This window comes from Homo sapiens, chromosome 3 (assembly GCF_000001405.40).
Source record: "Homo sapiens chromosome 3, GRCh38.p14 Primary Assembly".
NCBI classification, from domain to species: Eukaryota; Metazoa; Chordata; class Mammalia; order Primates; family Hominidae; genus Homo; species Homo sapiens.
The window spans coordinates 67,661,779-67,676,996 of NC_000003.12; the positions used below are offsets into that span (position 1 = coordinate 67,661,779).

General features: G+C 39.3%; 1 long non-coding RNA gene across 2 annotated transcripts in view; it reads left to right on the top strand.

Moving 5' to 3' along the window:
- Positions 1 to 15,218, top strand: part of SUCLG2-DT (SUCLG2 divergent transcript) — a 293,017-nt gene that overhangs the window by 7,082 nt on the left and 270,717 nt on the right. Inside the window, exons 2-3 of one of the 2 annotated variants that reach the window (NR_109992.1) lie at positions 8,038 to 8,131; positions 9,051 to 9,226. This is a non-coding gene — a long non-coding RNA (SUCLG2 divergent transcript). The remainder of the gene's footprint in view (positions 1 to 8,037; positions 8,132 to 9,050; positions 9,227 to 15,218) is intronic. The other variant, NR_109993.1, reaches the window with a different exon arrangement.

The following is a 15,218-nucleotide window of genomic DNA, read 5'->3' on the forward strand; positions in this document are numbered from 1 at the left end:
TGTGCCACCACACCCGGCTAATTAAAAAATATATATTTTTATACAGATGGGCTCACTATGTTGCCCAGGCTGGTCTTAAACTCCTGGACTCAAGCTATTCTCCCTCCTCAGCCTCCCAAAGCTATGGGATTACAGGCAAGAGCCACTGTGCCCAGCCACAGGCCATGGTTCTTAGCTTAGGTGTGTAACAGAATTCCTTTGGGCCATCCTCTCCAGAAGTTCTGATTCAGTAGGTCTGTCTTGGGGCTTGAGGATCTGCATTCTTATAAATAATGCCCCTACTCCACTGTCTTTGTTGTAGGTGGTTCATGCTTCATGGTTGGAGAAACACCAACATCAGCCGGGCGCGGTGGCTCAAGCCTGTAATCCCAGCACTTTGGGAGGCCGTCACTGGCAGATCACTTGAGGTCAGGAGTTCAAGACCTGCCTGGCCAACATGGTGAAATCCCGTCTCTACTGAAAATACAAAAATTAGCCAGGCATGGTGGCAGGCACCTGTAATCCCAGCTACTTGGGAGGCAGGGGCAGGAGAATCACTTGAATCCAGGAGGCAGAGGTTGCAGTGCATCAAAGGTAGCACTTTGGCATAGCTAGAGGGAATATCAGCAGCTATCCCATTCCCACCTTTCACATTTTCTCTTCCCTTTCTTCCCCTACTTCTACCATCCTCTTCAAACTTTCCCCAGCCCCTCTAAAACCTAATTTACTACATGCCAGCAAGAAGTATGGACTGAGGCTCCAAAAGATGCCTCTATGCTCTTCCCTCTATCTGAAACACCCTTCCCTGTTGTTCACCAGCATGAGTTTCTCTCATCCTTTGAGTTTCAGTCACCCCCTTCAGGAAGCTTCCCTGAAGCGGGAGCTAGGGGTATCTCAGTGGTTATTAGAGGTTTGTTACTGCATTTGCTACTTGTCTGCTTCATCCTTCAGGATTTTAAAATCTGCAATGACAGGGACCGTGTTCTTGCAGTGTTATTATTCTGCCCACAGTACAGTGCCTGGAAGACAGGAGGTGCCCAACTGCTATTGACTGGATGGGTAAATAAATAAAGATGAAGCTGGTGCAAAAATCTCCCTAATAAGAAGATGCAAAGATTCATGAGTGTCTGGAAATCTGCCAGTAGTCCCCAGTGAGAAAGGAAGTGGAGGCCCATGAAGGGAAATAACCTGCCCTGTGTGATGCACTACACTAGTGGTTTTTATGTACAGTTCCTCAGAGTCCTTGGACACCATAGAACTCCATCTCACTCTCTCCTTCTCCCTGCTTTTATTGAACACTTAGGTGCTTTCTAAATGCTTTACAGAAATTATCTTAATCCTCACTACCGACTTATTTTGCAGACGTACAAACTGAGTCTTAAAGCAGAGAGTAAGTGGCCTGATGTAAAGAATAGGAGAAGGCCAATTCCAACCAATCTGGAATTGATTCTAGGCCAGAATTGTCCAATAGAACTTCCTGCAATGAGGAAAATGTTCTATATCTGTGCTGTACATTATCATGCTATGTGGCTATTGAACATTTGAAGTATGGCTGGTGCAACTGAAGAAATCAATTTTTAATTTCATTTGATTTTATTTAATTTATACTTAAGTTTGAATAGCCACACATGGCTAGTGGCTATCATACTGGTCAACATGGGCTATCTAATTCTGATGTACAGTCTCTGCATCATCATTCCATTTTCTAAAGTGGGTTTCTCCCACAGCAGTTGTTAAAACAAGGATTTGGATACAAAGAGATTATTTAAGAGGTGATCCTAGACAGCAGGAGAGGGATTGAGGAGGTGAGATGGAGAAGGTGAATACTAGTAAAAGACTACATTGATATGCTGTAGGCACTTGAGGTTTCTGTTTGTTTGTTTGTTTGTTTTTTTGGAAACCTTCGAGAGACTTATGGAAAACACTGTATAATTGTTTCATTGAGGAGCACGGAACTGATCATGTTTATTCACCAACTCTCATGCCTTTTTGGTTGAAGGATGCTCCTAGGGGCATTCACACCTGCTCTGAACTCCTTCTTCATCTCCAGCCTGCCTCCCTTATGGGCCATTTCATGCCACTGTACCTAGATAAAGCCTTAGGGCCAAGAGATTCAGGTGCTTGAGGCTGGGTCTATCCTTCTGAGCTGCAAATAACTTCCAGGGTGGATCAAGGGAATGTGGGGTCAGGATAGATTATATTGCCTCTCATTTACAACCAACCATATTAGCTCATATTAGTGTTTTATCTGGAATAGGAGGAGAAGCATTTGAGACTGTTAGAAAAAAGGTTCTGCTATTTAAAAAAAAAGTTTTGAAACTGTAGCTCTAAACTACATTCCTACCTGTTTTCCTGACCACCTCAATTACTAACTTGTATCGTGTTCCATATTATTTCTAGCACAGCATGGATTCTCTAACATTCTTGCAGTCTGGGCCCTGCAAGGTAGCTGTAAAAATGCTGCCCTGGGACTTTCTCAGTGGAGACATAAGAAGACTCAAGCATTCCAGAAAGTGTTTGTTTGGTTGGCTTTTATTGATGTATATAAAAAGATTAGAGACAGCAAGAGAAGAAAATCAGAGAGAACCTATACTTGGTTAAAAAAAAAAAAAAGATTTTACAGCAGAAGTAGATAGAAGTGGTGCAAATGATGATTTCTCCTCTTCTGATATCAAGCTTTGTTAAGTTCCTGGAAAAGCAAACGTGATTATGGCAGGAGTAAATTGACTGAAAGCCAAGTCAAAGAGGCAGATCAGCTTCTGAAGGAGGTCTGCTCACTTCAGCAAAGAAAGCAGGGCAAAGAATCCTAGGCTTTTGAGCTAGTTAGGCCCCCAGTTCCTACAACCATGGGCTGAAATAATGTGGAGAACTCTTGATATTGTAGGCAAAATGAATGTTAGCAGAGTTCCATCAGAGATAATGGCTGGCCATGAGCTAAAGAGAGTTTAGCCACCACAAAGAAGAACCTGCCTGTAGAGATATCTCTAAGCTAAAAACCTCTGCAAGTTTCCTTTCGAAATTCTACCTTAAAAATTTGAAATAACCTCAGATCAAAGTTAACGCAAGAGTTTCCAGAAGAGTGAAGTTCATAATGCCACAAGGAAAAAAACTAGAGGATGACTAAAGTAAAATTTCATTTTAAAATTTTTATTCATCTAGCTGAGGTTGGAAAGAGTAAAATTTTTACATGAAAATATTAAGTATCTAGAAACTCTTATAAAAAGAAAAATTAAAAAGCACAATGATAGACAAAAAGGATGAGAATAAACAATTCAGAAAAAAAAATAGAACTGATCCATAAAAAGAAAAAAATGGCCAACTTCACTTATTGCATTGAAGAAACACAAAATAAAATATAATACTGCCTATTAAAGTTGTACATTTTTAAATAAATTAATTAAAATGCCCAATGTGGGTACAATTGTGGAGGCAGTGAGCACTCTTCTACTTGTTGGTAGAAGTGGAAATTAAATTGTTACATCCTTCTAAAATAATTTGGCAATCTATTAATATATTCAGATCCTAGAATAGTTTAAAGCCTCCAGTCCAATAATTTATTATATCTATATATTGTCTGTTCATATATTTTCTATTTATATATATATCTATAATCTGTATCTACATATATATCTAGCCTACTGCCTATCTTTGTAAATAAAGTTTTATTGGAACTCAGCCATACTCATTAGTGCATGGTATTGTCTATGGCTGCTTTCCACCTGCAATGGTAGCATTCAGTAGTCGCCCTGGAGACCATACAACTAAAAACATGTAATATGCAGCCCTTTGCAGAAAAAGTTTGCTAACCCCTGCACCAGAATATAAACTCTTTGACATGTAAGCTCAATGAGTGCAAATAATTTGTCTGCTTTGTTTGCTATTGCATTCCCAGTGGCTAGAACAGTGCCTGGCACACAGTAGATGCTCAATAAATATTAGTGAAGTCATCAGTTGCTCCTATTAAAGTATATTCATATTGTTTTTACATTTAGTGGGTTTTTGGTTTTACAAATAATGTTGCAGTGAACACAGATCTTTGCTTACTTTTGCAATTATATCAGACACAATATTTTAAAAAAAATAGTTAACAACTTTAACAACCTGGAAAAATACTGTTGATATATCAAATTTTTAAAATAGACTAAAATTTTATAGATGACTCTAAATTTTGTTTTTAAAAGTGTGTGTGCATGTGTGTGCGTGTTTGTGTTAACTATAAATAATTTGAAGGCTAGGAGGTGGGTGGGGTGATTTTGATTTCCTTTCCTTTCTTTTCTTTTTGTTTTTTGTTTTGTTTTTTTTTTTTTTTTTTGAAGTGGAGTCTCGCTCTGTTGCCCAGGCTTGAGTGCAGTGGCGCGATCTCAGCTCACTGCAACCTCTGCCTCCCAGGTTCAAGCCATTCTCTTGCCTCAGCCTCCTGAATAGCTGGGATTACAAGTGCACGCCACCATGCCCAGCTAATTTTTGTGTTTTTAGTAGAGACCAGGTTTCACCATGTTGGTCAGGCAGTTCTCGAGCTCCTGACATCGTGATCCACCTGCCTTGACCTCCCAAAGTGCTGGGATTACAGGCATGAGCCACCACACCCGACCCATTTCCTTTATTTTCTAGACTTTCTACAATGAACACAAATTGATAGGAAAAAAATAAAATCTATTTTTCTAAAAAAATTAAAAGATCCTTTTCCTTTTGTTACTTCCATGTCCTTTTTTTTTTTTTTAACTGTAATACTTTCTGTTGCTACAAGTAAAATCCAAATTCTTCCACCTAATGCTTCATTCTATAGAGCCTCTGGTTTAAATATATGTTTCTGACTGTCTCTGCAATGGCTCTCCTGCACTGATGGTTTATTTACCCAGACTGTGATAGTCTTTGTCCTCAGAAAAGGCCATATACATTCTAGTTTGGCACAGGTATTCACAGCTTTTGAACTGTCCAGAATGCCGCCCTTTCCACCACCTTCCTGAGCTCACTGCTGCAGTGCTTAGCTCTTTCCAGTAGCCTTCCTCAGTCCTTCTCACAGTCAAATCCTCCGTCTCTAACCTCCTGCAGCATCTAAACCCAGTTGCCTTCAGGAGACAAAGCAAGGAAACCTAAATGAATAAAGTAAGCCAAACAAGGGAATAAGGAGTCCTGGGAGCCTTGATAACATGTATGTGCCCTATCTAAAGGCAGTCAAATAAAATAAAAACATTTTTTTTAAGAAGAAGATGAAACAAAGGCAAGGATGTTGATAAAATTTGCCCTGTAGACCATGACCTTATACTGCCTGATCTTATAACCTACTTGAAACTTTGCTTTAAAGCCTGTGGAATTCAGGAATGCAGAGAGAGCTAGGGGAAAGTAAGAGTTAACTAAAGTTCATCACAGCACTGTTCACAATAGCAAAGACATGGAATTAACCTAGGTGTCCATCAGTGGTGGATTGGATAAAGAAAATGTGGTACAGGTACACCATGGAATACTATGCAGCCATAAAAAAGTATCATTTCCTTTGCAGCAACATGAATACAGCTGGAGACCATTATCCTAAGCAAATTAACACAGGAAAGCCAAATAGCACACGTTCTCACTTGTAAGTTGGAGTTAAGTATTGGGTACACGTGTACATAAAGATGGAAACAAGAGACACTGGGGACTACTAAAGGGGGAGAGAGGAAAAGGGACAAGGACTGAAAAACTGCCTATTGGGTACTATGCCCACTACCTAGTTGATGGGATCCTTCATACCCCAAACCTCAGCATTACACAATATAACCATGGAACAGACACCCCTGAATGCACATGCACCCCCTGAATCTAAGACAAGTTCAAGTTATTAAAAAAAAAAAAAAAAGATGAAGATGGGGATAGGTTGAGAATGAGGAAAGAACAAGAGGTTTTGGGATTAAAAAGAAAGGTGAGGCTAAGGCTTTAGAATGGAGTAAGGATGTCTGTGGTAGAAGATATACAGTAATTTTTAGAATGAAATTCTGGTGTTTTATTTTTTAAGCTACAATAAAATATCTCTAGTATTAATATGGGTTAATAAAAACAGCCCAATGAAAATATTACTTCATATTTATTTATTTATTTATTTTGAGACAGAGTCTCACTCTGTTGCCTAGGCTGGAGTGCAGTGACATGAACTCTGCTCACTGCGACCTCCGCCTCCCAGGTTCAAGTGATTCTCCTGCCAAAGCCTCCCAAGTAGCTGGAATTACAGGTACTTAGCACCAAGCTCAGCTAATTTTTATACTTTTAGCAGATACAGGGTTTCACCATGTTGGCCAGGCTGGTCTCGAACGCCTGACCACAAGTGATCCACCCACCTTGGCCTCCCAAAGTGCTAGGATTACAGGTGTGAGCCACCAAGCCCAGCCTCTTGCTTTATCTTCTATACCTGCCCCAAACTTCTACTTGTTGTAACAAAAACAACAAATGGCTAAGCTGTGTTGGATCTGTGTTATGTGCAGGCACTGTGCTAAGCAGTTTTCCTGGAAGTGTCTACCTCATTTCGTTCTCTGAATAGCTCTAAGAGGTAAGTGCTATTGCACTGTTACAAAATTAGAAGGAAAACGTACAGAGAAGCAAAGTAGTTTACCTTAGATGGCATGGCTAGGAGGTTTCAGGATTGACATTTTACCTTAGACTCCAGTCTAGAGTAGTTCCTTTTGTTTCTCTGAGGTGCAGCTCTGAGGTAAAAGAAAGGGAAGATTTGGTAGCAAGGGTGTAAATGAGGATTTCATTCCCTCTGCACTATTGTCCTTTTGGGCTGGACCATTCTTTGTTGTGGGGGGCTGTCGTATGCATAATGGGATATTTAGCAGCATCCCTGGCCTCTACTATTATATGCAGTAGCAAATGCCCCCTCCTTTACACTTGTGACAATCAAAAATCTTTCTAGATACTGTATCTTTCTAAATGTTGTAATGCCAAATATCCCCTAGAAGCATGATATGGTTTTGGTGTGTCCCCACCCAAATCTCACCTTGAATTGTAGCTCCCATATCCCCACTTGTTGTGGGTAGTTACTGAATTATAGGGGTGGGTTTTTCCCATGCCATTCTCATGATAGTGAGTAAGTCTCACAAGATCTGATGGCTTTATAAAGAGCAGTTCCCCTGCACATACTCTCTTGCCTGCTGCCATGTAAGATGTGCCTTTTGCCTTCTGCCATGATTGTGAGGCCTCCCCAGCCATGTGGAACTGTGAGACCATTCAACCTCTTTTTCTTTATAAATTACCCAGTCTTGGGTATTTCTTCATAGCAGTATGAAAAGGGACTAATACATGGGGGTGGGGAGGAAGAGTAAAATCTCCCCTGGTTGAGAACCACTATTATAAATATTTGTTCTTAGAGCAGAAATACCGTAACACTTAATATTGCCAATCTCACCTTTTTGACCTTTAATAATCCTAGATATATCTCCTCCCTCCACTAAAAAACCACTAAAAACAACAAAGATTATTGCATGAAATGTTTTATTTTCATATATCTCATCTTTTAGAGTGGATTAATTTTTTAAAATTATAACAAGAGGGAGGCAAAAAGTTTTAACTCATGAAGCAATCATTAAATGAATTAAAATAGTAATTCTCATGTCATTAGTTTGATTTTAGCCAAGCCAATGAAGCACTATTCTAATATTCTGCACAAAATAGCAAATTTCAATTTGAAAATTCTCCAAGCCATTAATGGTCCTGCTATCCATCTGATTTAGTAAGGGTTCAGAGCATTTGTGAGCTAAACTTTCTCAGGAAGTCATTTTTATACTATCAGCATTAGCCTGTGCCATTAAGATCAGCTTTTCCTTGATACAATGAGTTTTTATGTTATTGTCTGTGTCTTGTGGAAAAGTATAATTTTTAATGAAAGAAACCTAAGATTCTTTCATTAGGCTCCAAATTAGGCTCCAAATTCCCCCACTGTGATTTCATCTCATCAGTCTGTGCAAGGGGAGAGTTTGGTATTCCAAAGAAAATCAATTCAAACTACTAAAAACAATTGAAAAGTGTGAAAAATATTTTTTAAATATTTGAGTATGACTCAAAATACATGCTTTATTTATTGGTCAGCGTGAACAACCCCAGAAGGAAAAAGAGTGCTGTTGTTAAAGGTATCTGGCATCATGGACCCAACCATCACCAGGAGTTTCTCACTTCATCTCTGGTGAGTTTCTCTGTTTAGCATTCCTTTCAAAGTAGGTTTTTTCTCAAGGTGGGGAACCTAGGAGCTCCAGTGTCACATCCATACTTCATTATGACCAAAGAGGAAAGATAGCCCTAGCTCAAGTCTCAAAATATCTAAAAGACCCTCATGAGGTCAGCCGGAGTCCCAGGTGTATTCCTGGAAATCTCAGTGGCCAAAGAGGTGGCTGCCATGCCGTTTCAAGTCAGATTCAGGTACAAGAGGTTTTATTAAGGAAATTTTCTTAGTAGAAAATGGTAAGGGTATATGAAGGCAGGATAAAGAAGAGAAAATTCCTGGTCAAAGCTGCAATTTCAGATGAAGTGCCAGCCTTGGGCCACAGAGAGCTTAGAGCATAAATTACATGTCAGAATTTGTCCCCTTCCACAGCAAGGGAGCTGGGCAAAAGCAACATTGTGCCAGTCATTGGTTACAGCTTGCCTTGGTCAGTGGGATGTAAACCCTGGCTCTCTATATGCATGGCAGCCCTGTTAGCTCCAAGGTAATCCTCTGAAGAAGGTTGCAGATACAAACTTTGCAGCAAAAGGAAGAAGTAGTTGGGGGCTGGGCACACAGCATTTGGTAGAGGGGATCTGAAAGGGCTGCATGGTGTTCCCTGCACACACCTATTCCTAAGTGTCCAAAATGTTGGGTCTCTATGATTGGCAACCCCAATAAGCACCATGCTTTTGAGCCAGGGAGGAGAGATTTACCAAAAGAGGGACTATCCTGTTGCTCTTTTGAAGAAGAAAGAAGTGATGGGCAGACAAAATCTGTATAGCTTCAGCTGATTTGGACTTACCAAAGTTGACCCCAAGCAAGTTGCATTAAGGTCCGATAAACACACACTTAGAAAAGGACAGTTGCATTTACTGCGCACCTAATACTGTTTTGTCAACAGCTTTATTGTAGTATAATTTGCATACAATAATGGCACACATTTAATGTGCACAGTGTGATAAATTTTGACATATGTATACATCCATGAAGCCGGCACCACAATCAAGATAATGAACATCTCGCTTACCCCAGAAGTTTCCTGTGCCCTGTCACTCCTCCGTATTCCTCCATCCTCAGGTAATCACTCATATACTTTCTATCACTATAGATTATTATGTATTTTCTAAAATGTTATATAAATAGAATCCTAGAGTATATACTCTCCTTTGTCTGTTGTATTTATTTTGAGATTAATTCATGTTGGTTTCTGCATCAGTCGTTCATTCCTTTTTATTGCTGAGTAGCATTCTGTTGTAAAGACATACCACAATTTGTTTGTCTGTTCACCTGTTGATGGCCTCTAACACTTTTACATGTCATGTTGCATTTATCTGTCATATTCTTTTCACACTACTGTGAGGTAAGTCTTATTATGCCCATTTAAGGGAAGATGCATTTAGACTTCAGAGAGAGAAACTAAGTTACCTAATTGCTCAGCTAATAAGAAACAGAGCTTAGATCTCTGTTTTTTAACTCAGTAAAGCCTATGTTTTTTTTCTTACTTCACCATCTTTCTAAGCACAGATCTGCACACAAAGTTAGATACTCATTAGTTGATTTTTATCTACTCTAATTAGCACAACTTACATATTCAGAAAAGCTTCTCCAATTTTATATGCTTACTTTCAGCTTTGATGCTGTATTTATACCACAGTTGGGAAATAACCTATTTTCTTCTCTGTTTTCTCTTCAAAATAATAAACCAGAAGAATTCAGTATCCAAAATTTGGTCGTTTTTACTCTACTATACTGAACAATTAGTCCATTTTACTATCATGCCAAACAGCTCACACTTTAACAAATCAACACTAAGTGTGCTCTATTCAGATGCCTTGAAATTTCAAAGTAAAATGGCAAATGATACTAGATGAAAAACGTTAAGAATTTCAGCAGATTTTGCAGTGATGAAACTTTGTCTTACCTCTTAGAAAATGCCATTGCGCTGACTTTAGTGCCTTAAACTTCTAAATTGCATTTGACTTACATGTTTTCACTTGTGTGTGTACAGTCTCCCCAATTCAGTTGTGAACTCTTTGAGATCATCTAGCAAGCCAACTCTCTATAAAATCTGTATGTCCGAGTTCAAAGCTCTAACTCCACTCAACCCAGATGGTATACATTCAAATCCTGTTGGCCTAACATTTTCAAATGGAAAGAATACAATTAGAAAGATTTTACCTGAATTATAGAAGCCTCATAAAGCAGTGAGAGCCTAGAGGCTAAGGAGTCATGGGGAAGTTAAATAAAGTCTTAGTCATGAAGATCCTGTTGAAGCTCTGTCTGTATCCCCTAAGTGCTTGCCTCTGTAGTCAGCTTACTGAAAACCCTTTAATTCTCTCCACCTAAGGTCATTTCTCTGTCTTTGGAAGCAAGCTTGGCCAGCATGCAGGGCAGGCTAGAAGTGCAGAAAGGTTAATGCTCCAGGAATCAATCCTAAACCAATAACAGAAAGTTGGTAGATAAGTACCTTAGCACCTTTGCTTCTGGGAAGGGGTAATTCTAAAGCTGTTCTACTTTGTTTTGAGTTCCCCCAGTGAGTTGGGTTCTGTTACCCACAGCAGTCAGCTGCTCAATAAATCACCCTTTATTATCTTCCTTCTCTGTCTCATGTCTCAGTTTTTCTCCCTCTGTGTCTTGGGATCACTTCTCAAATAAACTTCTTGCACCAAAATCCCTGTCTCAGAGGCTAATATGGGGGAAAGCCAAAGACAGACGTTAACCACCATGGCACGTCTATAGCGTATTGGGTTAAATATTTTATATACATTAATCCATTCAATCCCCATAATGAAGATAAGAGGTGGGTATTTTTATTCTTATTTGATGAATAAATGAAGTCTGAAAAGTTAAGAAATTTACCCATGTTTACACTTTATGTGGCAAAGTCAGGTGCCCTGCGCCCCCAAGTGAGTGAATCCCAACCCTATGTTTTGTATTTTTGTTTTTTTGGTTTTTTTGAGACAGTCTTGCTCTATCACCCAGGCTGGAGTGCAGTGGTGTGATCTTGGCTCACTGCAACCTCTGCCTCCTGGGTTTAAGAGATTCTCATGCCTCAGCCTCCCAAGTAGCTGGGATTACCGGCACCCACCACCACACCCAGCTAATTTTTGTATTTTTAGTAGAGACAGGGTTTCACCATGTTGGCCAGGCTGGTCTCCAACTCCTGACCTCAGGTGATCTGTCCGCCTTGGCCTCCCAAAGTGCTGGGATTACAGGCGTGAGCGACCATGCCCAGCCTCAACCCTATGTTTTACACACTATAAAAACTCTCAGGCTAGCTCCCTTGGAATTGTGGAGTACAGAATTAACCCAACCTCACCTGTTAGCACTGGAAAATGTCAACATCTTTTTCTTATATTTATGATAGTGCCCAGGAAAGGACTGGGTACATTACAGCTCCCAGTAAAAGCTGGTTAAATTGCAAGGATTTTTTCTTTATTTGTTGTGACTCTTGTGAAACCTTGACCAGCAATTTAGAATGAACATTGGCTTTGCTAGCTGTGTTTGCAGAAGTAATATCAAAATGATATCCTATTCATGTTTCTGCAAGAGTAATGTCTACCATTCATTCTGGCCTCACTGATGGTGTGCTGATAAGATTACTATAAGTGAACATTCTCATTCTGTGCCTCTCATTATTGAGGAAGGAAACTCAAGGAGTTCCAAATATATTTTATTTTTTTAATATGATAACATGCACACACAATTTTCCTCATTCTTGAATATATGCAATTTATCTATCAGAGCAGGTTTCATTTTTTATGCACTTGCATTTATTCCTTTCTCATCCATGTGTCAGAGAGAAGGGATTGTAATCACTGAAGGAGCATTTGTATAATAAAAGTGATATCTGCAATTCCTTCAGAGAAGAGCGTGAATAAATAATCTGTACATTCTTAATGCATTGCTCCAAATATGAGTTTCAATTTGCACAGAAGTTTCAATAAATTGTTTTGTGTCCCTAAAGACCTACAGATGCCTCATGGGATACATTGTAAAGGATTCCATTTAGAAAGAATTTTGCTTGTGAGTAATATATTCTCTATACTTTTCTTCCCTTTGTTAATGCCTAATGACATTGAATAATACAATCACTTTTTTCTTTTAATAAGTGATAGATACAACATGAACTTCAGTCTAAAGTTTCTGACTTGTTCAGAATTCATCAACAACTTTTCATTCAAGGATTTCAAAGCACAGCATACAACCAAAATTGAGGTCAAATTGTGATGTGGTTTGGCTCTGTGTTCTCACCCAAATCTCATGTTGAATTGGGATTTTGAGTGTTGGAGGCAGGGCCTGGTGGGAGGTGACTGGACCATGGAGGTGGTTATAATGGCTTCGCACCATCCCCCAAGTGCTATCTTGTGATAGAGTTCTCACGTGATCTGGTTGTTTGAAAGTGTGTAGCATCTTCCCCTTCTCTATCTCTGTCTCTCTCTCTCTCTCTCTCTCTCCTGCCATCCGTAAGAAGACGTGCTTGCTTCCCCTTCACCTCTGCAATGATTGTAAATTTCCTTAGGCCTCCCCAGCCATGCCTCCTGTACAGCCTGCGAAACTGTGAGCCAATTAAATCTCTTTTCTTCATAAATTACCCAGTCTCAGGTAGTTCTTTATAACACTGTGAGAATGGACTAACACAAATTGTAACTTGAATTTGTATAATAATTAACTTTGCATTTAATAAGTAATGCACACTACGCTAAGTTTTATGTATTTTATCTTTACAATATTCCTATGATGTGGGTGCTATACTCATTTTATTGATAAGCAAACTGAGGCTGAGAAAGGATGCTTTGCAGGAGGTCACACAATTGTTACAGTGTTTAAATATTAATCACAAGTTTTGTCATTTTATACCTTTTTAATCAGTACTGTACAGACATTCCCCTGCAGGTTAGCCTAAATGTCAAATAATTTCTCTGTAATAGTTGGTACTTGTTCTGAAGGCATTAAATAGCTTGTGATTTACATTATGTTGCTGAAGGTTTTACATAATACTTTGCTTGAATTATTATAAAAGGAACGGCAGTTAACATTGTTGTTACATCTCAATCAATGTTAACCAATTCAACTTAGACAATAACATCAAATTCTTCATGTTTTTGTTGCTTTGGTGGTTTAGAAGGGTTCTGAAACTCTTTACATACATATGCCAATGATTCATTTCTGGATTCATTGTGCTGGTAGTATGGATGAAACATGCTGTTTTAAACATAAATTAATTACAATGGGCAGAATAAATAAAGATTCTACCTCTTAAATTTATTTATTTATTTTATTATGATGATAATTTTTTTGAGACTGAGTCTTGCTCTGTTGCCCAGGCTGGAGTGCAATGGCATGATCTCGGCTTACTGCAACTTCCACCTCCCAGATTCAAGTGATTTTCTGCCTTAGCCTTCTGAGTAGCTGGGACTACAGGTGTGCATCACTACACCCAGCTAATTTTTTTTTGTATTTTTAGTAGAGACAGGGTTTTGCCATGTTGGCCAGGCTGGTCTCGAACTCCTGATCTCAGGTAATCCACCTGTCGCGGCCTCCCAAAGTGATGGGATTATAGGTATGAGCCAACATGCCCAACCTACCTCTTAAATTTAAGTAATTTTTTTAGCTTAAGGATGTTATGAAGCTTCAAGTCTGTTATCTAGGAAGCTTATAACACTCTAACATTAATAGAGTATCATTTTTGTAATTGTTTATAAAATTTCATGTGAAAAATGGGAAAGAAGGGAGCCAAAATGTTTTAAAAAATCTTTTTGGACCTCTAACCTGTGCCAAGCATATTCCAAGGTGTTAATTACTTCCATTGCATTGTGGTAACAGCTTGAGAAGTGGAGTGCTGATAGTCCACATCCATTTTATCAAGGTTATGCGAGGTCAAGAAATTTGCCCAAGTTGAAGTCACTTGGAAGTGTCACAGTGGGGATTTTTTTTCCTTTAAAAAATTAAAAAAATTTTTTTCTTTATGATTTTTTTATGCATGTGTATTTTTAGTAGAGACAGGGTTTTGCCATGTTGCCCAGGCTGGTCTTGAACTTCTGAGCTCAAACAATCTGCCTCAGCCTCCCAAAGTGCTGGGATTACAGTTATGAGCTACCGCACCTGGTCCGGTGTGGGAATTTTAATCATGGACAGTCTAACTTCACAGTGCAGGCCTTTTCTGTTTCAGCATATCCCAAAACATGGATGACACAAACCAGTAACTACAAAGATGATAATTGGTGCTATGTGAAAATTACGTTTTTATATGGGCCAAATGAATTTGGTTAACAATAGGTGGAACAAAGTTAACCGTATTTCTTTACTATAGGATTTCTCAGAGCCCATAATATGCTAATTCACAAACTAAATCTGAGTTATGGCAGGCTCCTAGGATTCTAACCCCCTAGCCTACCTGTCCTATCTGATCTTCCACTGAGTGAGGGTGGGATTTGTGAAACTGATGGGATAGCACTCCTGTGAGTAGGCGATATGATGTAGCAAAAGTGAAGGATCACAAATCAGTTGACTTTACATTAGTCAAAAAGGAGAATCTCCTGTGTGGGCCTGACTAAATAAGAGGGACTGGGCTCTTCGCACTGACCTTGAAGAACAGACAGCTAAGTGCGACTGCCTGTGGAGAGAGTACATCTCTCTCTGCTGGGGGCCTCAGTTCAGCCTCTACCAGGAGCTGAATTCTACCATATGAGCTTGAAGGAGGACCCTGAATTCCAGGAAAGAACATAGCTAACACCATGATTTCACCCCTGTTAGACTCTGAGCAGAGGACCCAGCCAAGCCAAGCTTGGACTCCTGACCTAGATAAAAAATGGTTGCTTTAAGCTGCTAAGTTTGTGGTGATATGTTATGCAGCATAGAAAACTCATATGGGGATATAACATTTTGTTTTCAAGAAATCTTTCTTTTTTTCCCCAGAGTATCTTATGGGACTGGTGTTCCATAGAATCAACTTTGGGAAATGCTGTGTTTTTATGGCATTCTTTTCTCCTTCAGAGAAAGACTGATGGTTAGACACAGCCTCTGCTACCAGGAATGGTTGGAGCTCGTGATTCAGAGAAGGGATGCA